The 26832-nt window shown below is 40.9% G+C and overlaps 2 protein-coding genes across 7 annotated transcripts in view; one reads left to right on the top strand and one right to left on the bottom strand.

Annotated features, from left to right (window-relative positions):
• The window catches only part of ELF5 (E74 like ETS transcription factor 5), a 35004-nt gene extending 29518 nt beyond the window's left edge, over positions 1–5486 (top strand). For 5 of the 6 annotated variants that reach the window (NM_001243080.2, XM_017017308.2, NM_001422.4 and 2 more), the window contains 3 exons: positions 1778–1846; positions 3310–3505; positions 3963–5486. In NM_001243080.2, coding sequence (NP_001230009.1) covers positions 1778–1846; positions 3310–3505; positions 3963–4059 — 362 coding nt within the window. In that variant the 3' untranslated portion in view covers positions 4060–5486. The remainder of the gene's footprint in view (positions 1–1777; positions 1847–3309; positions 3506–3962) is intronic. The other variant, XM_017017309.2, reaches the window with a different exon arrangement.
• The window catches only part of CAT (catalase), a 33127-nt gene continuing 18511 nt past the window's right edge, over positions 12217–26832 (bottom strand). The window contains exons 9-13 of the mRNA NM_001752.4: positions 22888–23026; positions 20042–20172; positions 15882–15989; positions 13236–13319; positions 12217–12909 (exon numbers count right to left, since the gene is read on the bottom strand). Coding sequence (NP_001743.1) covers positions 12844–12909; positions 13236–13319; positions 15882–15989; positions 20042–20172; positions 22888–23026 — 528 coding nt within the window. The 3' untranslated portion in view covers positions 12217–12843. The remainder of the gene's footprint in view (positions 12910–13235; positions 13320–15881; positions 15990–20041; positions 20173–22887; positions 23027–26832) is intronic.

The following is a 26832-nucleotide window of genomic DNA, read 5'->3' as shown; positions in this document are numbered from 1 at the left end:
AGTGTGGTATGATTAGTATAGTATGCTACAGTATAATACAATATAGTGTAGTTGGTACAGTGCAGTATAGTTAGTATAATACAGTACAGTATAGTATAGCACAGTACAGTATAGTTAGTATAGTATACTATAGTATAATACAATATAGTATAGTTGGTACAGTGCAGTATAGTTAGTATAATACAGTACAGTATAGTATAGCACAGTACAGTATAGTTAGTATAGTATACTACAGTATAATACAATATAGTTAGTACAGTACAATACAGTTAATATAGTATAGTACAGTATAGTGTGGTACAGTAAATATAGTATACTACAGTGTAATGCAATATAGTATAGTTGGTACAGTACAGTACAGTTAGTATAGTATAGTACACTGTAGTATGGTGTTAGTACAGTACAGTAATAGAATAGTTAGTATAGTGCAGTACAGAACAGTGCAGTATGATATAGTATAGTATAGTTGTCATGGTATACTACAGTACAGTCAGTATAGTTAGTATGGTATAGTGCAGTATAATGTAGTTGGTGTAGTATAGTATAGTACAGTATAGCATAGTTAATATAGCATGGTACAGTACAGTATAGTTGGTATAGTATGCTACAGTACAGTATAGTTAGTACAGCATAGTATGTACAGCACAGGATAGTTAGTATAATATAGTACAGTATGGTGTGGTATAGTACAGTATAGTTAGTATAGTACAGTATGGTGTGGTATAGTACAATATAGTTAGCATAGTACAGTATGGAGTGGTATAGAACAGTATAGTTAGTATAGTGTGGTGCAGTACAGTTACTATAGCATAGCACAGTGGCTGCTCGATGATACTGAGCACCTACTATATGCCCGGCAGTGTGCTAGGTGCTGCAGGGTTATGTTGGGAAACACAAATCCCTGCCCCCTCGTGTGCACAGACAGACAGTGAACTTCATGAATAAATACACCATAGAATATGCTCGAATATTCTATGTAAAATGCGGAGCAGTGGGGAGGATGTGCAGACCCAACTTGAGTGGTCAGAGGAGACCTCACTGGAAGGTGATTTTGAAACAGGATTGAGATGAGGGCGTGCACCACAAGTATCCAAGGGAACAACGTGCAGGACAAGTGGAAGAGCAACTGCGAAGTCCCTGATGTGGAATGTGCCTGCACGTTTCTGGAGAGCCTGAAGCCAGGGTGGCTGGGGCAAAGCAAGCAGGGGGCTAAGAGAAGCGGTGGAGACGAGTGTGAGCTGGAGGGGCAGATCTGGTGCCACCATTTTAAAAACTCATATACTACTCTGGCAATGCTTGTCCTGGTGTCTCAGGTTGTGACTCACAGCCTGAGTTATTAGTTAAATCAGCACGGAGTTAACGTCTTGCTTTCTACCCTTCATAAGCTCTAGTCTCTTTGCTTCTACTTGTGTCTCTTCCAGTCTGTTCTCCACACAGGAGCAAGAGAGATCTTCTTAAATTGAGGATCTTTGCTCTACACTTTGATATAAAGTCCCAAGTCCTTACCATGGCCTCCTAGGAAGGCCCTGCACGGACCTCGATCAAAACCAGATTTATTTATTCTCATCAGGGTGGGGTGAGATTGAATACAAGTGCTCCTCAAAGGCACATCTTAAAGCATCTTGACACCTGCCACCTAGTAATCACCCCCAAAGTGCCTAATGTGGTGTCTTCTACTACAAAGGCATTCAATTAGTATTTGCTCATTTGGGTATGACTTGAGGTCTGAATGTGGCCTCTATATCCCTTTCCACTGCTATAAATTATTCTATTTCAGATGCTGATTCCAACTGCTTGAAAACAAGTGGCATCAAAAGTCAAGACTGTCACAGTCATAGTAGAACAAGTAAGTGCAGGATGCCAGTTTTCATTCTAATTTCTTAAAACCATTCCTCAGACAAAGTCATCTACTTTAATAAGCTTTGAAACTAAATGTTTGAGTTGGACCAGTTACTCCCCAAGGAAGGTAGTAAAGAAATCAGTGATTGCTTTTATACGTATTATCAAAGTCAGATTGATTTCTTCTCATACGAGTGGGTGAGATTAAGCATCTGACAATAGCAAACGCTAAACAAATCATAGCTAATAATTATCCATTAAATGTCTATTGAACACCTACTATGAAAGACATGATCGTAGTTGTGAACATTAGCTTTGGAATGAAAACCCCCTGGGTTCAAGTTCTGGCTCCACCATCTGGCGCCAGATCCAATCCTGGGTCCACTGTGGCTTCATCTCAGAGGAGGATAACAAAGAAAACACCGGGAATTGGCAATCCTATTAGCTTCCCCAGCACTAAGAGATCGGCCCAGAGCAGTGTCAAGCTTGTAATTTCACAAATGTGTGTGTAGAAAACAATTGCTATGTGCTGGGCATAATTCTAACCACTTGGTATGTATTAAATCATTAAATCCTCTAACCTGTCCTAGGAGACAGGTACTCTTTATTATCCCATTTTATAGATGAAGCAACCCTAAAAGTTTATGGTTATAAAGGTAGGAAGAGGTGAATTCAGGACCCAGACTCAGATAATGGGACTCCAGAGCTGGTCTTAACCACCATATCATAGAATAAGAGAAATACCAGCCTTTCATGAAAAACGAATTTGCAGGATCAGTCCACCCAGACAGTTGTGGCTGTGGAATCAGTACAACCATGCTGCCTGTCAGAAAGAAGAATGAAAAGATCATTTGACTGTCATTTCACTCATTCCATAAAAGTTAAACTGTAGTTCCATAGAACATCTGTGAGTCACAGTGTTGCCAGTCATGTAAATTGGGTGTCTCTGAATGTGTGTTTCACAATTGCTTCGATGGGAGACACAGACATGTCACAGCTCAGTAAGTTTCCAGGTAGAGCAATCAGTCATAACAATGGGAAATATTCCACAAAGCAGCAATTCTCATGACCTAGTGAGAAATTGTACATCTCTTCTCTTAAAATTAAAAAAACAAGCTGGGCACGGTGGCTCACACCTGTAATCCCAGCACTTTGGGAAGCTGAGGCGGGTACAACACCTGAGGTCAGGAGTTCGAGGCCAGCCTGGTCAACATGGCGAAACCCCATCTCTACTAAAAATACAAAAAATTAGCCAGGCATGATGGTAGGCACCTATAATCCCAGCTACTTGGGAGGCTGAGGCAGAAGAATCGCTTGAACCCAGGAGGCAGAGGTTGCAGTGAGCCGAGATCGCACCATTGCTCTCCAGCCTGGGCGACAGAGCAAGACTCTGTCTCAAAAAAATTAATTAATTAATTAATTAATTTAAAAAACAATGGTAAATAGTTAATGTTTTCCCCTTTTCAAAAGGCCTCCAAAGTTCTCATCTATGGGAATTTGTACGAGACCTGCTTCTATCTCCTGAAGAAAACTGTGGCATTCTGGAATGGGAAGATAGGGAACAAGGAATTTTTCGGGTGGTTAAATCGGAAGCCCTGGCAAAGATGTGGGGACAAAGGAAGAAAAATGACAGAATGACATATGAAAAGTTGAGCAGAGCCCTGAGGTAAGTTAATAGCATAAAATACTATGAGCCTTCAAGAAGAGTTATATACAATGGCTGGCTGTAGAAAATTACACTGTTTTTGCAGGTTTTTTACTTGATAATGGAAAGGTCATGAGACAAAACTTTGGTTCTTAGTTACAGGTAGGATTATGGTTTGTAAATTGACACGCTGTCCTTAGCATTCTTGGCAGCATTCCCCAGGGATCACTCTGAATCCAGGCCATCTCACACGCCCACACACACAAAGAAAAACACGTTTTGAGCTGAGAATGGTGAGGTTCAGTCTTCAAGATGTCTGGGAAAGGTTTAAGTGTAAGTTGATAACAGGGCATGAAAATACCAGGGTAACCAAAGACCAGCCTTGTCACCTGAGAGGAATGAGGAGACAGTGTTTGTGTTCTGTTGTTTTCCTAGGGTGCAAGCTCTCCCAGAATTTCTCTTCTGCTTGCTTTTTCAGATACTACTATAAAACAGGAATTTTGGAGCGGGTTGACCGAAGGTTAGTGTACAAATTTGGAAAAAATGCACACGGGTGGCAGGAAGACAAGCTATGATCTGCTCCAGGCATCAAGCTCATTTTATGGATTTCTGTCTTTTAAAACAATCAGATTGCAATAGACATTCGAAAGGCTTCATTTTCTTCTCTTTTTTTTTAACCTGCAAACATGCTGATAAAATTTCTCCACATCTCAGCTTACATTTGGATTCAGAGTTGTTGTCTATGGAGGGTGAGAGCAGAAACTCTTAAGAAATCCTTTCTTCTCCCTAAGGGGATGAGGGGATGATCTTTTGTGGTGTCTTGATCAAACTTTATTTTCCTAGAGTTGTGGAATGACAACAGCCCATGCCATTGATGCTGATCAGAGAAAAACTATTCAATTCTGCCATTAGAGACACATCCAATGCTCCCATCCCAAAGGTTCAAAAGTTTTCAAATAACTGTGGCAGCTCACCAAAGGTGGGGGAAAGCATGATTAGTTTGCAGGTTATGGTAGGAGAGGGTGAGATATAAGACATACATACTTTAGATTTTAAATTATTAAAGTCAAAAATCCATAGAAAAGTATCCCTTTTTTTTTTTTTGAGACGGGTTCTCACTATGTTGCCCAGGGCTGGTCTTGAACTCCTATGCTCAAGTGATCCTCCCACCTCAGCCTCCCAAAGTACTGTGATTACAAGCGTGAGCCACGGCACCTGGGCAGAAAAGTATCTTAATTAATGAAAGAGCTAAGCCATCAAGCTGGGACTTAATTGGATTTAACATAGGTTCACAGAAAGTTTCCTAACCAGAGCATCTTTTTGACCACTCAGCAAAACTTCCACAGACATCCTTCTGGACTTAAACACTTAACATTAACCACATTATTAATTGTTGCTGAGTTTATTCCCCCTTCTAACTGATGGCTGGCATCTGATATGCAGAGTTAGTCAACAGACACTGGCATCAATTACAAAATCACTGCTGTTTCTGTGATTCAAGCTGTCAACACAATAAAATCGAAATTCATTGATTCCATCTCAGGTCCAGATGTTAAACGTTTATAAAACCGGAAATGTCCTAACAACTCTGTAATGGCAAATTAAATTGTGTGTCTTTTTTGTTTTGTCTTTCTACCTGATGTGTATTCAAGCGCTATAACACGTATTTCCTTGACAAAAATAGTGACAGTGAATTCACACTAATAAATGTTCATAGGTTAAAGTCTGCACTGACATTTTCTCATCAATCACTGGTATGTAAGTTATCAGTGACTGACAGCTAGGTGGACTGCCCCTAGGACTTCTGTTTCACCAGAGCAGGAATCAAGTGGTGAGGCACTGAATCGCTGTACAGGCTGAAGACCTCCTTATTAGAGTTGAACTTCAAAGTAACTTGTTTTAAAAAATATGAATTACTGTAAAATAATCTATTTTGGATTCATGTGTTTTCCAGGTGGATATAGTTTGTAAACAATGTGAATAAAGTATTTAACATGTTCAACTGTCTGTGTATCATTCAATTCAGCATGGTAGCCTCAGCAAAACACTGACAACCTGTAAAACCTTTGGTGATTCTTCCATTTCCTAGCAGGTGTGGTTGGAGATTTATCTTTTATTTTTGGAGATGGGTTCTTGCTTGTTGCCCAAGCCGTCCTCTAACTCCTGGGCTCAAGTGATCCTCCCGTCTCAACCTCCCAAGTACCTGGATTACTATGAACTTTTGCTAAATCCACACCACACCTGGCAGGCTGGAGATTTTTAAAGAGCCCAAAAAGGTGCAAGAAATATATGGAGTAATCTTACCCTCCACCTTTAATATCATAAGACAGAGGTTCCCATGACAAAATGGAGTTCATTGACGCACATAGCCTACAGATGCATTTTTGTTTGGTGCACATAGTATTGTCTGTTTTCTTGAGGTTTTCTTTTATTTCTTACTGTTACTTCATTGCCTAATTTAGAAATCGAAAGATTCACCTAAAAATCCAGGTTTCTAGCTTCTCTTTTAAAATCATATCTGGCAACACTAGTTTCTCAGTCTCTTGTGGTGGTAATTTCCTGGAGCTAAATTGAAGTTGCACCTTTGGACAGAGGATTTGGTTACTTCCTACTGCCTTCTGGACACGCAGGTTGTCAGCTGCCATTCAACTTTGTTCTTGCACTATTGATGGTGGTTGTTAAAACATCCAGAATGCCTTTACATTTTGAATGTGGGACCCACGTCCTGGCCACCTGAAGATGTAAGTACCATGTTAATGGACCACAGTCAGGATGAAAGGAAAGACTGTCCAGGAGAAGAGAAATTAGCTAACAGGAGGGAAATAGGGAGTTTTCAGGCAAGAGCTTGGCAGTGACAATAAAGCAGAGCCAAGCATCTCAGGAGCATGGCAGGGACTGGGGTGGGACAAACAGGCAGAAGTGGGCAGGACTGCAGAGAAACACACTGTCTGGATGTGGATGCTTTCCCTCCCACTCCCTGGGCACCAAGCAGTTCAGAGAACAAAAACATTCGTTCTTCTTGCTACTCAAGAAATTTTCATTTTATAAAACCATTAAACTAGCATCCTCTTTGCATTAGCTTTCTAGGGTTGCCTGTGACAAATTATCAAAATTGGTGGCTTCAAACAACAGAAATATCTTCTTTCACCCTTCTGGAGGCAACAAGTCTGAAATCAAGGAAGCCATAGGCTCTAAGAAAGAATCCTTCCAAAAAAAAAGAAAAAGAAAGAAAGAAAAGAAAAGAAAAAAGAAAAAAAAGAAGAAGAAAGAATCCTTCCCTTCTTCTTCCTCTTCTGGTGACTCCAGGCATTTTGTGGCTTGTGGCTGCAAAACTCCAATCTCTGCCTCGGTCTCCACATAACCTGCTCCTTCTTCTCCCCTTTGGTCTCTTAGAAGGACACTTATTATTTGATTTAGGCCCCACCTGAGTAATCAGGATAACTTCCTCTTGATCTTTTTTTTTTTTTTTGACACAAAGTTTTGCTCTTATCACCCAGGCTGGAGTGCAGTGGTGCAATCTTGGCTCACGGCAACCTCTGCCTCCCGGATTCAAGTGATTGTCCTGCCTCAGCCTCCCTACCTGAGACTACAGGCACACACCACCATGCCTGGCTAATTTTTTGTATTTTTTAGTAGAGATGGGGTTCCACTATGTTGGCCAGGCTGATTTCAAACTCCTGACCTCAGGTGATTCGCCTGCCCAGGCCTCCCAAAGTGCTAGGATTACAGGCGTGAGCCACCACGCCCAGTTTCCTCTTGATCTGTAACTTATGACATTGCAAAGATCCTTTTTCCAAATGAGTCACACTCACAGGTTCCAAGGATTAGAACATGGATATATCTTTTGGGGGATCACTGTCCAATTCACCACACTCTTTAAAGTAAGAGTTTTACTTAAACATATAGCTCCATAATACAATTCATTGAAGGACAGAAAATACAAGGGACTGTTTAAAATGCCACACTTGGCCCAGCACCGTGGCACACACCTGTAATCCCAGAACTTTGGGAGGGAAAGACAGGCAGATCGCTTGAGCTTAAGAGTTCGAGACTTGCCTGGCCAACATGATGAAACCCCATCTCTACAAAAATTACAAAAATTGGCTGGGCGTGGGGGTGTGCACCTATAGTCCCAGCTACTAGGGAGGCTGAGGCGGGAGGATCGCTTGAGCCCAGAAGGTTGAGGCTGCAGTAAGCTGTGATGGTGCCACTGCACTCAAGTCTGAGTGACAGAGTGAGACGCTGTCTCAAAAAAATAAATAAAATATTACACTTTGAGCAAACAATACCAAAGCAAAACAACAAAAAATTAAAGCAATAGATAATGCAAAATTCAGTTATCAAATAGTCAAATGAGGGAATAAGTACTTGCTTTGTTAAAAGGATCTGCAATAGAACTTTCCATAGCAAACTTCCCATATATTAATATGTGATTGTTTACATTTTTCAGAGGTTCAAAATTATACAGAGCTGGCCACGTGCAGTGGCTCACACCTGTCAATCCCAGTACTTCGAAAGGCCAAGGCGGGCAGATCACTTGAGGTCAGGAATTCGAGGCCAGCCTGGCCAACATGGTGAAACTCTGTCTCTACTAAAAATACAAAAATTAGCTGGACATGGTGGGGTGCATCTGTAATCCCAGCTACTCGGGGGCTGAGACACGAGAGTCACTTGAACTCGATTCAAGCGATTACAGAGGTGGAGGTTGCAGTGAGCCCAAGATCATGCCACTGCACTCCAGCCTGGGCAGGAGAGTGAGAATCCACCTTAAAAAAAAAAAAAAAAAAAAAAAAAACGAATTATACAGAACTTTTTAAGTTGACTTCCACTAACCCCTCACATCTTTAAAAGCACTGATTTAAAAAAAAACGTTAAGGCCTTCAGTTTGGCTTACCAGAGAGTTTAAAGTGGAATTTGGCTCTTTGCCCTTTGGTAATGCCACGAACTAAGAGGCAAAGAAATGGCCCAAGTAGCTTGCTTGTGGCTTTTCTCCCAGAAAAATGAGTGCTAAGAAGTTCTTAAAACACTTCCATAGTACAAATCACAAATCAGAGTGATGCCCTTTACCCAGGAAAGAAAACATTAATGTGGTTGGTCTTGTTTTTGTTTTTTGTGATTGAGTCTCACTCTGTTGCCCAGGCTGGTGTGCAGTGGCACAATCTTGGCTCACTGCAACCTCTCCCTCCTGGGTTCAAGCAATTCTCCTGCCTCAGTCTCCTGAGTAGGTGGGACTACAGGTGTGTACCACCGCACCCAGCTAATTTTTTGTATTTTTAGTAAAGATGGGGTTTCACCATGTTGGTCAGGCTGGTCTCAAACTCCTGACCTCAAATGATCTCCCCTCCTCAGCCTCCCAAAGTGCTGGGCTTACAGGCATGAACCACCGTGCCTGGCCGAATTAATGTGTTTTTAAACCAAAATCCTGACATTTATTTGAAACAAACTAGGCAATCCTTCACAGTGCTTCTAAAAGCCCAGACCAAGCCCTCCTTTTAGAAGAGCAAGTCTCATGAGCAGCGTGAGGTCAGAGATGATCAGGTCCATGCACATTTGTGTCTTTCCACAATGTCTGACTTTCTTGAAGTAATCTCAATCACAAAAGCCACGAGCTGCACGGAGTTCCTAAGGAGGCAGTTTGCCTCAGTGCTTCCCATTTGCTCGATAGTCAGAGCTGCAGTCACACAGGCTCAAGCCACTCCACAAGTCAGTCAATGTGGCAGATCATACATAATAGTATACTTAAAATATAAATGTTATAGATTAAACATGCCACAACAAAGTAATATTGAACATCAAAAGAAGAAGGATAGGAAGAAAGGGTTAATGAATCAATTCAGGGAGAGCGACTAAGGCAAAAAGAATCTCCTGGTCTGCGCCAGGCAGTCCGAGAGCCTTCAGTGGCAGATGCCAGGTGATTATCATGATTAACAGCAAGATGGTGTAGTTAAGACGGCCATTTCAAGCTGCGCAAGTCCTGTTCTTTTTATAGCCACAGTCCTCTAGTGAGGACTGAGAGTGGAAAAGTGTGCTTGTTGATGTCCTCATCTGGTTGGATGCAGTCTTTATTTATTAAGCAAACATCTTGTCCCTGTTCGCAAAGTGCCCTATGAAATATAAGATGGAGTCTCTAAGATGGAGTTACTTATGTCAAGGGGCTTGACACAGCAAAAGAACAGATTTTTATATATTAAGAGTCTAATATTTACATTTTTAGATAGTGGTGTGGCAGAGTGTAGGTGAAAAACACCTTTTTTTTTTTTTGAGACGGAGTCTCGCTCTGTCACCCAGGCTGGAGTGCAGTGGCGCAATCGGCTCACTGCAACCTCCGCCTCCCAGGTTCAAGCAATTTTCCTGCCTCAGCCTCCTGACTGGCTGGGATTACTGGCGCCTGCCACCACGCCCAGCTAATTTTTTTTTGTATTTTTATTAGAGATGGGGTTTCACCATAGTGGCCAGGCTGCTCTTGAACTCTTGACCTCGTGATCCGCCCGCCTCAGCCTTCCAAAGTGCTGGCATTACAGGTGGCAGCCACCGCACCCAGCCAGAAAAACACCTTTTAAGATGAGAATGCAAGAAATGAAAATGTTATGTCCACACAAAAATATGTACAGAAATGTTCATACCAGCACTATTCATAATAGCCAAAAAGTAGAAACAATCCAAATGTCCATCAAATGATAAACGGATAAATAAAACATAGTAAATCCATAAAATGGAATATTATTTGGCAATTAAAAAAATGAAGCACTCATAGATGCTACAATATGTAAGAATCTTGAAAATATTATGCTAAGTGAAAGAAGCCAGTCACAAAAGACCACATACTATATTATTCCATTTAAATGAAACATGCAGAGTAGGCAAATCTTAGATTCATGATGGCCTAGGGCTGGGGACTAGGTTAAGAAAGAAATGGAGAGTGGCTGCTGATAGGTACAGGTTTCCCTTTGGGGTGATGAAAATGCTCCAAAATTGATTGTGGTGATGGTTGCGCAATTCTGTGAATATACAAAAAAAATTTACTCGTACACTTTAAATGGGTGGTTTTTACGGTATGTGAATTATATCTCAATAAAGCTCTTATTTTAAAAAAGAGAGAGAAGAAAAAAGGAAGAAGGAAGAAAAAAAAAGGAGGAGGATGAGGGCAAGGACAAGAAGAAGAGAGAGGAGGAGGAGGAAGAAAAATGAGGAGGAGGAGAAAGGGACGAGGAGGAAAGCTGGGCATGGTGATGTGTGCCTGTAGTCCCAGTTACTCAGGAGGCAGAGGCCACCCTGGGCAACATAATGATATGCCGTCTCTAAAATAAATAAACAATGAAGAAGGCAGTGTGAACGACCAACTGTGTCAAACACCGCTGAGAGGTCATGTAAGACAAGGACTAAGAATGGACCATTGGATTTTTTTGTGGGGTAAAATATACACAAAACTTACCATTTAGCCATTTTTAGGTGTACAGTTCAGTAGCATTAAATACATTCACACTGTTGTGCAACCATCACCACCAACCATCTCCAGAAGTTCTCACCTTTCCCAATAAAAAGTGCAGTGGCGCAATCTTGGCTCACTGCAACCTCCACCTCCTGGGTTCAAGCGATTCTCCCACCTCAGCCTCACGAGTAGCTGGGATTACACGCACATGCCACCACACCCAGCTAATTTTTGTATTTTTAGTAGAAATGGGGTTTCACCACGTTGGCCAGGCTGATCTCAAACTCCTGACCTCAGGTGTTCCACCCGCCTTGGCCTCCCAAAGTGCTGGGTTTACAGGCGTGAGCCACTGCACCCAGCCCGATATATCTATTTTCTATGTCTACAAATATAACAGTCTCAAAGCATACTCAAATACGGGGGGAATTAGGCAGGAGGGTTTGACAGAGGAGTAAAGAAATTTGAGCTAAAAGACCAAGAATGAGTTTGTATCTGTCTGCTAGTGGTCTGTTTCCTGAAGCCCGTAACTCAGGAACTCCTGAAAGTATAAACTGGTTTGGTTTTTTGTTTTTAGTTGTTATTGTTGTTGTTTTCAGACAAGGTCTCACTCTGTTGCCCAGACTGGAGTGCAGTGGTGCAATCACGACTCACTGCAGCCTCAACCTCCTGGGCTCAAGAGATCCTCCCGCCTCAGCCTCCCTAGTAACTGGGACTACAGGCATGCGTTACCATACTCGGCTAATTTTTGTATTTTTTGTACAGACAGGGCTTCGCCATGTTGCCCCGGCTGGTCTCAAACTCCTGAGTTCAAGTGATCCTCCTGCCTTGGCTTCCCAAAGTGCTGGGTTTACAGGCATATGAGCCACCACACCCGGCACAAACTGGTTTTGAATATGAACGGAATAAAGATTTTCAAGGAAAACAAATTTTCATTTAGTATTCAGAACTCATCTTTAAAGTCTTCCATGTGATTTTCAACCATGATAGGCAAATATGGGCTTTAAAAAGAAGGAAGAGGAAAGTGACCAGTGGTTCTGAGCCCTTGTTTTAAAAAGTCAATCACAGGTAAGTGAGCAAATGGACAAGAGATTTAAGTAATTTTCAAAGTTGGGGCATTTGCTATTTTATCAGTGTCTCAGAAGGCTGTCCAAAGGCTATAGATTTAAACAAATAACATGGAGTCCTCGAGATACTGGCATTTCCATTTTTAAGGGTAAACATCTGAAAATGATGATGTTCAAATTAAGAGTCTGGTAGCAGTTTACAGTTACATATGGAGTCGAAAGAAAGAAAATACCATCTCTGTTCTTACGTACAGATTATTTATTGTAAAAATGTAAGCAATTACAAATTGATCTGTTGTGAAATCAGTGCTGAATTAACATTAATGTAACTCCAGTGAAAAAAATGAATTTGATCAATTATTATCAGGAATAAACATTAAGCCATGACGGTGCTCAAGTTATCTTCTGATGACACTGCTGTATTAAATGTACTTTTCCTATGAGAACCTTAGAAAAATAAAAATTTCTGAGTAGATCATCTTTATCTTTTCTTTTTATATATTTATAGCCATATTTTAATATAATAGGCCATGAGGTGATATGTAAACATACATAATTTCAACAAATTTTGTCAAATAAAATCATATTTCTAGCTAGAAACTTGCCTTCTAATCATTTTAAATGAATAATCCAATCATCCGTCAAAACAAATTTTTTTTTTAAATGACTGTTAAATCCTAACCTTCATTTTCCCCTGGGGAAATAGCATTAAAATTGTTACACAATCTGCTATAGAAAGTGGGATTCTCTATTTTGAAGCCACTAGCTTGCATTTGCACATCTAGCACAGGAGAATCTTCATCCAGTGATGAGCGGGTTACACGGATGAACGCTAAGCTTCGCTGCACAGGTGCAGGGCCCCGGCCTCACAGATTTGCCTTCTCCCTTGCCGCCAAGTGAGATCCGGACTGCACAAAGGTGTGAATCGCATTCTGTTTTAAAAGAACAAGATGAGCAGGTTAATCACCTCATGGGCAGCAACGTGATATTTACTCAGTTTTAATATGTATGCAAATGAAAATAATAATTCAGAATTCATTCACTTTAACTGTCTTAAATTGCCCAGCGCTAAAATGAAGAGTATGTGTTTTGCCAGTGAATTCTTTATCTCTCAAATGAATTTCTGCACAGCTGCCTAAGAAATCTAACAGTGGCAGGTAATGGCCCCTGCAGACTGTAATGCTAAGTGGTAACTAAGTCATGCCTACTCCAACCCAGCACACACAGCCTCTGCATGGCCAGGCTGCTCCCAGCTTACCTTAGGCTTCTCAGCATTGTACTTGTCCAGAAGAGCCTGGATGTGGCTCCCGTAGTCAGGGTGGACCTCAGTGAAGTTCTTGACCTAAGGCCAAAGGAAAATAAATGCAAGCATTACTCTAACTCCCTACTATATCACTCCCCAGGGACTGTGGTTTCCCAGTGTTTATTCCATAGGGGAGGAAAGACGTTTCAGCAGGAGGCAGTACTACAGGTGTTTAACAATGCCAGCCTCAGAGTTAAGATGCAGGTCCAGTGAACACTCTGACATATACTGGCTGAGCAACCTCGGATAGGTCACTTAACTTACTGAGCTTATGTCCCTCTGCCGAAATGCGCAAGAAAATGACACCTAATCAGTATAATTTTAAAAATACTATTTGGTCTTTGTCCCCCATTCCTGACACAGATCTAAAACCCTTCGAATGTACTGTCTTTTATATACTACTAAGATGATTCATGGGGGCCTACATAGATTCCTGATGGAGGCTCACACCAGGAAGAACAAGCACGCGATCAGAAGGTTAGAACTTCTAGCCCCACCCCCAAACCTCCAGGGATGGGAGAGGGGCTGGAGATTGTATTCAATCACCCATAGCCAATAATTTCATCAATCATGCCTATGTCATAAAACCTCCAGAAAAACCCACAACTGGCAAGGTCAGGGAGTGTCTGGATTAGTGCACACATCCAGGAGCTAGAAGGGTGGTCCACTCAGGGAGGCACAGAAGCTCCGAGGCCTTCCCCCATGCCCCTCTTCCATTTGTCTATTCCTGAGTTGTATTCTTTATAATAAATTGGTAATCATAAGTAAATCATTTTCCTGAGTTCTATGAGTCTTTCCAGCAAATTATCAAACCTGAGGAAAGGGTTTGATTTGCAGTCAGAATCTGCAGAAGTGTGCATAGCCAGGGTACCTCATTTGTTATCTAAAGTGGGAAATGACCCCTAAATCTTTGGGTTCTGACTCTAGCTCCAGGAGCTACTGTTAGAATTGAATTGAGTTATAGGACACACAGTTACTGTCAAAGAATTACAGAATTGCTTATTGTCGGGGAAAAAAACCCATACAACCTAGGCCAGGCGCAGTGGCTCACGCCCGAAATCCCAGCACTTTGGGAGGCCAAGATGGGTGGATCACCTGAGGTCAGTAGTTCAAGACCAGCCTGGTTAACATGGCAAAACCCCATCTCTACTAAAAACACAAAAATTAGTCGGGCATGGTGGGGCATGCCTGTAGTCCAAGCTACTGGGGAGGCTGAGGCAGGAAAATCTCTTGAACCCAGGAGGCAGAGGTTGCAGTGAGCCGAGATCATGCCACTGCAGTCCAGCCTGGGTGACAGAACAAGACTCCATCTTAAAAAAAAAAAACCCACACAACCTACCTCACAGGATGCTGTGAGAAAAATGCTGAGAAGTGAGGTGCATTTACTGCATGAAAAGAGCTGACCTCAGAGTAAGCGCTTAACAAATTACAGTGATTTACATTGAGAAACGGGCCCAGACACAGCCTAAAGTTAATGTGAAGGATACAAGAACACTGGTACATGCAGCACAACTCCACACACTTCAGGCAGGAATTCCCCAGTGGACAGCAAGAGGAGGCAGGGCATTGGGAACCCATAAAAGCCTTACAGTTTCAGCATATGTGAAAGGAGAATGCCAAGGGTTCCAGCCCAGTTCTGCTATTTACAAGCTGTCGTATCCATTCTCTCCAGTAAAAGGAGATAAATCCTGCCCTGCCTACCACACAGAGCGCCTGTCAAGCTCTCTGCTGATACTGGAACCCAGGCTCTGGGACACAGCCCAGACAGCTGCTAGCCCAGCTGCCCCTAGGAACTGAGAAGCAGCAACTAGGGGCCAAGGAAAAAGGGGGATTTCTAGATTTGCAAAAAGCTTAGCTCTGGGACAGGCCAGGAAACCAGAAGTGAGAGGGCTTCACTCAGCTCGATGAGCGGCCATCAGAAATACCCCAGCACCTTAGCATGAAAGTCTAGCCTGCCTTTTGGAAGCATTGCAGTTCTTATTCCAGAAATCATGCAAATTTCTAGTCTGCATCTGAAGGAGGATCGAGGTATTATGACATTAAGCCTTTAGGCAGGTTTTAAACCATAAAAATGCAAAAAAGAAAGACAGACTGATTGACTGATTGACTGATTTTAGAGACAGGGTCTCCCTATGTTGTCCAGGCTGGCCCTGTATTCCTGGGCTCAAGCGATCCTCCCATCTCAACCTCCTAAGTAGCTAGGACTACAGGTGCATGCCATCACACCGGCTGATATATTTATTATCATCCAAAGTTTAAGTAGAATTGCAGCAGGACTCACATTTTGATATTGCACATTTACTATCTTGCACAGAACTTGGCTGCAGCTGAATTAAACAGAATAGGACAAAATTCAGTCTGAACACAACTAAATTAGTACACACTGGACAAACAGCTAAGGACGATGGATATGCCAGACCAGATAAAACATGGAAAGAAAATAATCAGAAGTTGGTTGGGGATTACTAGTTTATTTTTTTTTTTTTAAGTTCTCTTAAGTCAAGTAAAACAGAAATGGCACTTTCTTTTTAGGGTTCTCCCACACAGCTGCACTGTCTTCCTTAGCCAGCAGAGGACACCCTTCAGCTTACAAAGACTCACCGCTTTCTTCTGGATGAAAATTTGTGCATCCTTCAGGTGGCCGGCAATGTTCTCACACAGACGTTTCCTCTGTTCCTCATTCAGCACGTTCACATAGAATGCCCGCACCTGCTCAGAGAAAAGAGCAAGTGCAGAGAATTGAATCACCAGTTTATCACCAACAAAATTCACCTACTACAACACTTAGGAAATCAATGATAAAAAAAACTTTAGAAGTTAAGAATAATTTTAAATTTTAAATTTGGGTTGTGTCCTTCACTTTTTGTTTTAAGCAAAATAAGTAAAATTCATTTGTTAATAGCTCATACCTGCTTTCTAATAATATCCTTTATAGTAACTGCTATAAATCTCTTATAAATAGATCTACAATTTAAAACCTCACCACATTCTTAATACTGACAAGTCTAAAATGTGCAAGCTGCCTTTGAATGTAAACTTAGCACAATACCTTTGTTCAATTCTCCCAGAACCATGGAGGAAAATTAACTAATTTAGCTAGAGATATAATTTGATATATAGATAATTATATCTATATATAGACATCTAAAAAACTACCTCATTTATACATGTGTATCTGTAGTTATTCAGAAGCCAATATTTCTTAAGCAAGACATATTAATAGTGATATTTTGCTAGATTATTGGGTTGACCTCTAAAATAAATATCCATAAATTAAAATGAAAAATAGGAGCTTAGTATCAGATATGTGAATCCGAGCAGCCTCTGCCCCATTCTGAAATCAAAAGGTTGTAGCTATGATTTTATTCTTACATTTCATTCATTCATTCCACTCATTCAACAAATATTGAGTATCTATAATGTGCGAGACTCTGTTCTACGTGCTGTTCTATTAATGTTTATGAAGTCCAATAATATCCAATTATCCAAAGTATCAACTTCATAAAATATTAAGAGATGCATCATTTCCATAAGTCATCAAATATCAGGCTATAATTATGTTTTTAAATTTTTGAGTAAAGTTTAAACCTGATACCAAAGTTAATCAGACATTTTCGATTAACACAATCTAATCAAAGTACTATATCCTGGGGATTTCCTCAGACCTATCTCCAATTCACTAATTCTCTCTTCAGCTGTATTTGACATATTGCGTGAAAACATCGACTGGGTCACTATATCTGTTGACTTTTTATTTCACAGATTGTAATTTTTGTTTCTAGAAAATATTATTTGGTTATTTTTCAAATCTACCTGTTTTTCTCCTCATATCCTATTGTCTTAATAATATTCCTTTTTTGCATCTCTTTAAATATGTATGTTTATTTTAAAGCCTCTTTCCAATTATCATGTCTATGATTCTTCCATCTATTATTGCATGTGTAATTTCTCATTGGATTTCCTTGTATGTATTCTAATTTTTCACTATGACTCATCAGATGAAGTAGTCTTGATAACATCTATTGTTCTATCTTCCAATTCACTAATCTTCTCTTCAGCCATGTTAACCTCCTTTAAAAGCCATCTATTAAATTCTAATTTCAGTTGTTACATTTTCTAGTTATGTCCATTCAACTCTTTTTCTATAGCTTAAAGTTCTCTTACTAAATTCTTCAAGCAGTCATCTATTTTCTTTTTTTTTTTTTTTTTTTTTTTTGAGACGGAGTCTCGCTCTGTCGCCCAGGCTGGAGTGCAGTGGCGCGATCTCGGCTCACTGCAAGCTCCGCCTCCCGGGTTCACGCCATTCTCCTGCCTCAGCCTCCTGAGTAGCTGGGACTACAGGCGCCCGCCACCACGCCCGGCTAATTTTTTTTTTGTATTTTTAGTAGAGACGGGGTTTCACCGTGTTAGCCAGGATGGTCTTGATCTCCTGACCTCGTGATCCGCCCACCTCAGCCTCCCAAAGTGCTGGGATTACAGGCGTGAGCCACCGCGCCCAGCCCATCTATTTTCTCAAACCTATTAATCAGTCATTTTAAAACCTGTATCTGACAGTTCCATTATTTAAGCCTCCATTAGGTTTGTTTCTACTGTCAGTTTGTAGGGGGTTTTTTCTCCCTCTTGATTTTCAGTCATAAGGTCTTAATGTGTTAGGTGCCTGGTCATTTATTGTTGAATGCTGAACATTTCCATATAAAAAGGTCTAGAATCATTTGAGTTTCTATTTTCCACCAAAGAAAATTTTGTTTGCTTCTGACAGATGGCGTAGAAAGAGATCACCTTAATCCAATCTGAGACTGAGCAGAGGCAAAGTTATGTTTCCTGTATTGTGAAAGCAAGTTTATTTCATGTTTGCCCTTATTCCTAGGCATGGCCCTTTAAGGATTTCAACTGAAAGCCTTGAGTATAACTAGAGGCTCTGCTTCTTAGCAGACCTTGAATTCCAATTTTTGTCCCTTCAGACTCATGAGACTGCTGTAAACACCACTCAGCTTCTGGACCAGTGCTTACAAATTAACAAATACCTTAAGAGGAAAGGAAACCAAATGTCAAGCTTACTTCACTGCACTTTTTTTTCCTGCACTTCTTTTCCATCTTTGATCTTGGTCCCTTAAATCCTTGTTGCTTTGTTAGCTCTCCAAAGCCTTCAAACAAGTGCTTTATGTATTTTACCTACCTTTTCAATGTTCTCCATGAAACGGTAAGTAAGATACAAGCTAGTCTGCCATAGACAGATGCAAGCCCAAGTGAATCATTTTTAAGAGAATAAATCTGGACCTTCTTATGTATTTCCCATGTGATACATCATCACAGAATTATGCTATGAATCTATAACAATAGTATTGTGATTACTTAAAAACCACACTATATCCTATATAGTGATAAGAAATTCTCTCAATAAGAATGAGCACATAATAAATTTTCATGTGTAAGCAATAGCCTCATTAATTTTTGCAGGGGTTGTATGAGCTGGTTTAATACCTGTATTGACCTCACATAGGCAAAATTCTTTGAGAGGCAGGGAATGTACTGTAATATACTTGGTGTCATCTGCATCACCAAAAATAATGCAGTTACATAAAAGGTATGCAGGAAATGTTTTAAGCTCATCTAAAAATGGTTTATATCCCACAATAATGTAATTTCTTTTTTATATATACGTATATATGTATATACGTAAATGCTTTTCAAGCAAAGATATCCTCACAGCGAATTAATTCATGTATAAGTATTTTTTACTTGGAACCCACATTCACAAACTGAGAAACTAGAAATAGGTTCTAATCTAATTTAAATACTAAGTTTAACACTAACTGCTCAAACAGAGCTCTAGAACAACTATACCTTTAACTTTATTATTTTATTGTGTGTGGTATAAGTTGCACTGGACACATTAAGGAGGCAGCTGCCCACCTACAGCCCTTCCAAGTCCAAGGGCCTCCTTCATAGCATGTGCTGAAACAGCTCTTAGGGCAGCCATAGGCAACTGGAAAGAGGATGAGCATTTGCCCTGGGGCGGTTAACTAGAGCCTGACCAAGGCCAATGGTGCAACCTGGGGTGAAAAGATTAGCCAAGTCAATAGGATTCCATCTCTCTAGAATCTAGAGATAGACATGTTGAGAGAAGGAGTAAAAGGTGGTCCAAAAAAAAAAAGTAATAATGGAGAAAGACGCCATAAAGGAGAGTTTTCCATTGTTGTGGAAGAGCCACAACCATGATAAAACAGAAGCTCTGACGCAGATAGGAGAAAACAGGAAGCTGTGGTAAAAATAATCAATTAGCATTGGCAAGCAGAAGCAGACAGATGGAGAATAAGCCACGTGAAGGACGAGCCCTGCAGTGGAAACGCCCACACTCTTGTGGCCGAGGCTCCTGGAGCTATTTTGGATCTCTAGTTCTAGTCCTTGAACCTGGACTGTCCTGCCCAGATTCTTAGATTTGTCTCCACGTAAGCTGTACATGCTCATTTCTTAAATTCCCATGAGATAACTGTTTCCCCAATGCCCCCTCCCCATATCCCTTCAATAAAGTTTGAAGAAACTGAGACGGAGTCTGCATGCTTTGAGGCAAAAGACCAGAGTAATATAACCCTTCAACTCCACCCAGTAAGGGGCCCAATTTACTATTACAGATGAGTCTTCCTTGAATTCAATTTAAGATACATCAGACAGTTGGGGCATTTGCAGGGAGGGGGATTATGCAGGCATTGACAAGGAGAATTAGCAGGTGACTTCCATAGCAGATAAAGAGAAGTCATTACCTGAGTAACGTTATCATCATTGGCAGTGTTGAATCTCCGCACTTCTCCAGAATATTGGATGCTGTGCTCCAGGGCAGAAGGCTGTTGTTCCGGAGCACCAAAGCTGTTGGGGTAGTAATTTGGAGCACCACCTTCAAAACAAAACCACCCAGATGCACTTAGGAATAAGAAAAGTCAAGTAAGTCTGCAAATAATCACTGTGATGAGAAATAAATTCAAGTGGTAATCAAATACACACGTACACATACACAGATATAAACACAACGCACACATATTATTTTTAATTTCCCGCATTTAGCTACAGGTAGTATGAAGATTCTTAGGGAACGCTGCCATCTGCTAAATGCTTGCACAGGCTGCCGCACTTTATGAATGAATCTCAAAGTCCCTTTTGACACTTCAAAGGGTCTCATCTATCAAGTCTTCTGAGGGGTACAGCACATGTAGAAGTTTATACAGGCTTGATTTGGCCACCATATAGGGATGAGGCTCAAAGACACATTTCAAAATTGACTTGAAAAATTGTGTCATTTGGACTTGGGCTCAATTCAAACACTGCATCACAAAATTCTTGAGGGAAATCTGAAAGTTCTGGTTCTGCTCCTTGAATCTACAGACACAAGCATGGAGCTCTGTGATGGGACCTGACTGCTGCAAGGTCACACGGTAGCCAGTGGTAGATATGGGGTTGGAACTCTGGGTTTTTTGTCTCCTCCAGCCCAGCATATACAGTATTTCCATTACAGAACTCTACTTTGCTATTCCGTAAAGTGTTTTTAGGATTCTCAGGGTATCTCTCCTTTACTGACAATGATGACTTTGTTCCATTGTAGCTTCACTTTCATACCCTCCACAGACCAATAAACAAAGAATTTTTTAAAATGTGGTAATTGTATATCAGCACTTACTTATCTGGACTTATAAGAAACAGTGACAAATACAATCAAAATATTTTCTATGACTTTTGAAATAAATTATAAGGCTTTTTTTTCGTTTTAGCATATTTATTTTCTCAACTATGCTTTGGCTGACATTAGCAGAAGCTTTCATTACCCGAGCACACACTGCCTAAACAGGAGTGGCCCAGAAACATATTAAGTGGTTTGAGCAAACCAATCTGGGGTTGGAATTTTAGCCAGCTCACTGCCGTAATAGATTATCCACAGTGGATAATCAAGAGGTGCCTATGTATGACATTCATCAAGACACCAAGTGTGTGTGTAGGGGAAGGAAGAACACCATACTATTATAGAGCCCAATTATTCACTCAACAAATTCAACAGATCAGTCACATCTACATGAAAAGCAAAATGCTCCAAAAACCAGCCATCACAGTGTTTTCTTCATTAAGAACTAGCTCTTTGAAATGTGCCTAGTTAATTTTTAAAATCCTACTTCCAAATGAGCCCTGACCTTTACTCAAAGTGGTAGTTGTCTTTAAAGCACTGACCACAGGAACAATTAAGCTCTTTCACTGAGCTTCAGGGTCACAGCCCAAATGCTCTACTTTTACAATCAAGCCAGGCGCGGTGGCTCATGCCTGTAATCTCAGCACTTTGGGGGGCCAAAGTGGGTGGGTCACCTGAGGTCAAGAGTTCAGGACCAGCCTGGCCAATGAAACCCTGTCTCTACTAAAAATACAAAAATTAGCTGGCGTGGTGGCACACTCCTATACTTCCAGCTACTCGGGAGGCTGAGGCATGAGAATCTCTTGAACCCAGAGGCAGAGGCTGCAGTGAGCCAAGATCATGCACTGCACTCCAGCCTGGGCAACAGAGTGAGACTCTGTCTAAAAAATAAATAAATAGATAAATAAATATAGCAAAATGTAATAGCTATGACCTTTGGGTGTTGGGACTATATGGGAATTTTTCTTTTTTCTTCTTTTTCCTATATATTCCAAATTTTCTTTAGGACACTTGTATTATTTTTATCATAGAAAAATAAACTTTGTTTGAATATAGACATCTGTGGCTATAAATATAAATCATCAGTAAAATTTCTAAAGGGATCAATGCATGCAGTCTATATTACTAAAACACGTGTCCTAAATGGGAAAAGAAAATAACTAAGATCTATATTAAACTGTGGAATAGTAAAAGGAAAAAACTTTAATCAAGCATTCTGCTTGACTTATTAGAAAAAGTAATTAGAACCAGAGGCTGTTTGTATACGACACCAAAAAAAAAGTAGTTAAAAGAAAAAGATCCTAAGTTTGATAAATGAGTTCCAAAAAACAAAAAGTGGTAAGTTGATTCACCTAACTTTATTCACTTAGGAAAAAATGAAGGGAGGGGAATCCTTTGACTTGCTCTGCCTCCCCTACTCTCTTCTCCCCAGCCTTCCCTGCTAATTCTAGCTCCCCTCCAAATTCTAGCTAGACCTGCTCCTCCAGGGCCACAGCAGAACTGCAAAGAGAAACAGAAGACTCCAACTCTTGGCTTTCGCACTTCCAAGGGTCTAAGTCTTGGTGATTTCACAGTGAGTTAAGGAATTGTCCATTTTGGTGAAGTGTCTTCAAAACCTAACTCCCAAGCTGGATGTTACTGTACTCTAGCCAGTGTGAAAGATCTTTCTCCCTGCTTTTAACTACTGGATACAAGTAACATCTGAGGTGGAAATGCTCAATAAAATATATAAAATAGATAAAAAGCATGGAGAGTCCTCAGGCAGCCTAAATCTTCACTGCTGGGCAAAAAAGCGCCCAGTTAGCAGCACCTGGGGAGCACCTTTACCAAGCAGGAGGTCCTGCGGGGCCAGCTTGAGAGCCACTGGCCTGGCCTCCCGCCCATCTGCTCCACGTGCCCTCTGCCCACGCAGGGGGAGCCCAACGTCTTTAGGCCTACCCTGATTGTCCTGCATGCACATCGGGCCGTCACGCTGGTAGTTGGCCACTCGAGCACGGTAGGGACAGTTCACAGGTATATGAAGATAATTGGGTCCCAGGCGATGGCGGTGAGTGTCAGGATAGGCAAAAAGGCGGCCCTGCAGTAATAAATACAATAGACACTGACTAGGGGCAGTAACATATAACATAGGAATGGGCTGTAAACTTCATTCTGAAATTTGAAGTACAAAGCACTCTGTACATGGTTACCACAAAATTCTGCCTTTCCCGCTACTTAAGAGTGAAGCCTCTACTCTTATGAAACGAGTTCTCCCTAACTGAACAGTTCTGAATTTCCCAGGCCCTCTGGCCAACCATAAATCTTCACATCTGTTTTTGGTAATAATATCTTTTTTTTTTCCTTCTGCATAACAAGTTAGTGTCTTGTCTTATACAGTATTACTTCCTATTCCCAAGGAAGTATTGCATTATAAAATAAATGTGCTAGAACGTTAACTAACTGAAATATTGAATTAATTCTATTCCTCCTCATTCCCCCACTCCAGGGAAGGAACCAATCATTTGCTCTTTACAAAAAGCAACACATTTCTACAAAACCAACAGCATGGGAAATTCTTCAAATAAGCACTTCCAACTGGGCACAGTGGCCCATGCCTATTATAATCCCAGCACTCTGGAAGGCCAAGGTGAGAGGATCGCTTGGGCCCAGGAGTTTGAGACCAGCCTGGGCAACACAGCGAGACCTGTCTCTACAAAAAAAAAAATTAAAACATTAGCCGAGCATGGTGGCATGTGCCTGTAGTCCCAGCTACTCCAACAGGCTGAAGTGGGAGGACTGCTTGGCCCAGGGGATTGAGGCAGCAGTGAGCTGCAATCGTGTCACTGCAATCCAGCCTGGGCAACAAAGCAAGATCAGAAAAAAAAAAAAAAAAAAAAAAAAAGTACCGCCCACTCCCATGCTGCCTTCTGAATTATCTCAGAAACACTTTGAGCTCTGAGACTTTCTAGATATAAACAACAATAACAAAAAATCTGTGGTTCAAAATGAAAGCCCTACAATGCCAAAGGTAATCAATCTAAGATTAAATTATGTTCCATGTTAATCAAGGCAAAGATGGCAAGCATCTTGAAATTTCTTTCAGTTAATGCTCAAACAAAAGCTTTATGATAAATTCTGCATTAATCTTAATATCTAATTATTGAACTATTCTCATTATTCATACTCCTTTTCTATGAGCAATTTTTCTTCCATTGAATTTATCATTGGCCTTGAACCTTAAAAGTATTTTTATATCCCTAATTCTATGAGGCAAAATAAAAACCAAATTGAATAGGGCAACTTAAGCAATAACTTTGTTCCAAATCACTGATACCAACAGACTTAATCCAGTCCCAGTGTTCTGTCAATATTTTGCTTTTGGCTGAATGACTCCCTCTTATCATCATTTCAAATAGCCTAAGGTCATATTTAGATGACTAGCCATGCGGCCATGACCAAAACTCAGCTATAGGTTGGAAGCTGGTTGTCTCCTTTGGCTCAAAAAGTTGTGCTCTTGACTCCATCAACAGGATAGGAGATACAATCCTGCCATGGGCAGCTCCTGGATGTAGCCTCTATCACCTAATTCTGATTTTGTGTCACCCTGTGTTTATCAGGCAACCTTACCCCACCTATGGGTGGAGACCAACAAAGGTTGGGAAATGGGCACAGTGAGGCCATACCCTGACACCAGCTTGAATCTAGGCCTTCCCCAAGGCCCTGTGCCTGAACTCCCTTGCTGGACCTGCGTGAGTGGGAAAGCCTTTCCCACCCAAGCAACCGGCCCAACTTCTCCAACTCTTGGCAAAATGCAGAGAATGAGAGCAAGAAAGGCTGCACCTGTGTCCTCAGGTACTCAGGGGACAGGACAGTCTCTCTATGACTTGTATTATATTATTTGTCCATTTCACCATGGTGTGGCTCACCACTTTGGATAAAGTTATAAAACTTAATAACATGACCTTGTTAAAAGGCACCTGTAAACACTGCCCATTAATATATCAACCGCCACTGCCTAGGCTACAATACTCATGAGCTCTCAGCAGGAATAACCCCAAAGCCCCCCTAACTGGCTTTCCACTTCCTGTCCAACAAGACAATCTACATATTCCCTACTCACCTACTCAAAAAATCTCAAATCATTCCTTAATGGTCACCAAATGGCTAAATGAGTACAACAGTCCTTCCCCAACTGTATGGCTCCTCACAGGCTCCATGGTATTGGAACTGATAGCTAAATGACCTAAGAAGGATGGGGGAAAGCTAGGCTAGAAACAATAACTCGACAAACTTATGAAAGCTCTTTCGAACAGTTTCTAAAACTCATTTAAAAAAAAAACAACCTATAAAGAGTACACTGAATTTAAAATAGATATATTTGCCAGAACTAAAATTAATACTAACAGAAATTATATTACTTTCTACTTGTCATCCTTTTTCAGAACTCTCTTCCCCACTGTTTGAATAGCTGCCTTAGACATTTGCTTTCTTAGGAATGTAGAGAATACGTATTTGCTTTGCAGTCCTTTTCCCGGGGGCCTAGTTCTCCATTCAAATCTTCATTGTTCTTCAAATTATATGACTCAGTGCTGCTGACTGCCTCACGGTCCCACTGTGGTTCCAGAGACCCATGGTGACTTGGATTCTTGTGAAAAGAGTTTAGGTAACCTTGTATTCCTCAATCCGTTCCCTCCCTGGGTAACCAGGGTTATGCAGCCTCTGCTCTGCCCATGACAATTTCATGCCTTGGCAAATCCCATTAGCCTCATCCTCTCACAGTTCAGCCACCAGGTAGGGAGTTTTAGGGCCCAGGATTACCTTGTTTTGGCTTCCTCTACTCCCTGGTTTCAATGCAAACTTCTGCTTTTCCTCTGAGAACTGCCTGACTTTCCTTTTGCTATTCCCAATCCCTAGTTGTCGCTTTTTCTATTTATCACCAAGAGGAGTGATTCTACTCAATATATCCCAGACCACACTTCTCAAAACTGAAGAAAGCTTTTCACTCCTACTCAAGCATTTAAGGTCCCCTCTGACATATACTCAATGAACCTACCCAAACTCTATTCTTCTCATTCAGGAGAGAGTGACTGTTTATAGTTTCAACACACCTAACATGTCCCACCTTTGTGCCTATACTCATGTCCTTCTCCTGCCGCATTTTACCTACTAAAAATCAAAATCCTATCTATTCTTCAAAACAATCTCAAATGCTACCTCGTTCATGAAACTTCGTGGCTGACCTCCTATCAGACAAAATTTTGCTTTCTGGATCACCATGGCATTCTGCCTTACATTATGGCACCCAAGACAGTCCACCATACACAACAGACAGGTACTCAATTTGTAACAGTTGAATTGGACTAAAAACTAATGAAAAACTTACTTTCTATAAAAGCCTCAGATGTTCCCCAATGTCATAAGCAAAAAAGTTATTTTTTAAAAACGGAATCTTAGCTTGTCCTCCATGCAGACTGAAACCTGAACTGGAATCAGATACTTACATAAGAAGTAACCTTCAGTCGCTGTGGTCTGATTTAGGGTACAATCTTTAACCTTTGTTTCAAGGTCACAGTCTAAAACCACAAAAGATTGATTTATACAGTAATTATTAAGCCAATTATTTTCTTACTGATTCTGATCCAAAGTACAATTTTTCACTCTTGGTACTCTTGAAAGAGATATTAAAAAGTGATGTAAAACATACTGATGGCTTAACATTAGCAAGGTGAATGGTTAATCCACTGCTTTTATCACTGGCAGCATACATGTAGTTCATAAAGATCATCCCTAGATCTCTTTTTACAAATGGAAAAATTCAAGCATCACCATGAAACAGAAAATGAGGCCAGCCACGGTGGCTCACGCCTATAATCCAGCACTTTGGGAGGCGGAGGCAGGCAGATC

Source organism: Homo sapiens, chromosome 11, assembly GCF_000001405.40.
Source record: "Homo sapiens chromosome 11, GRCh38.p14 Primary Assembly".
Classification (NCBI taxonomy): domain Eukaryota; kingdom Metazoa; phylum Chordata; class Mammalia; order Primates; family Hominidae; genus Homo; species Homo sapiens.
The sequence above is the reverse complement of the archived record's forward strand: the minus strand, read 5'-3'. Positions and strand labels throughout refer to the sequence as shown.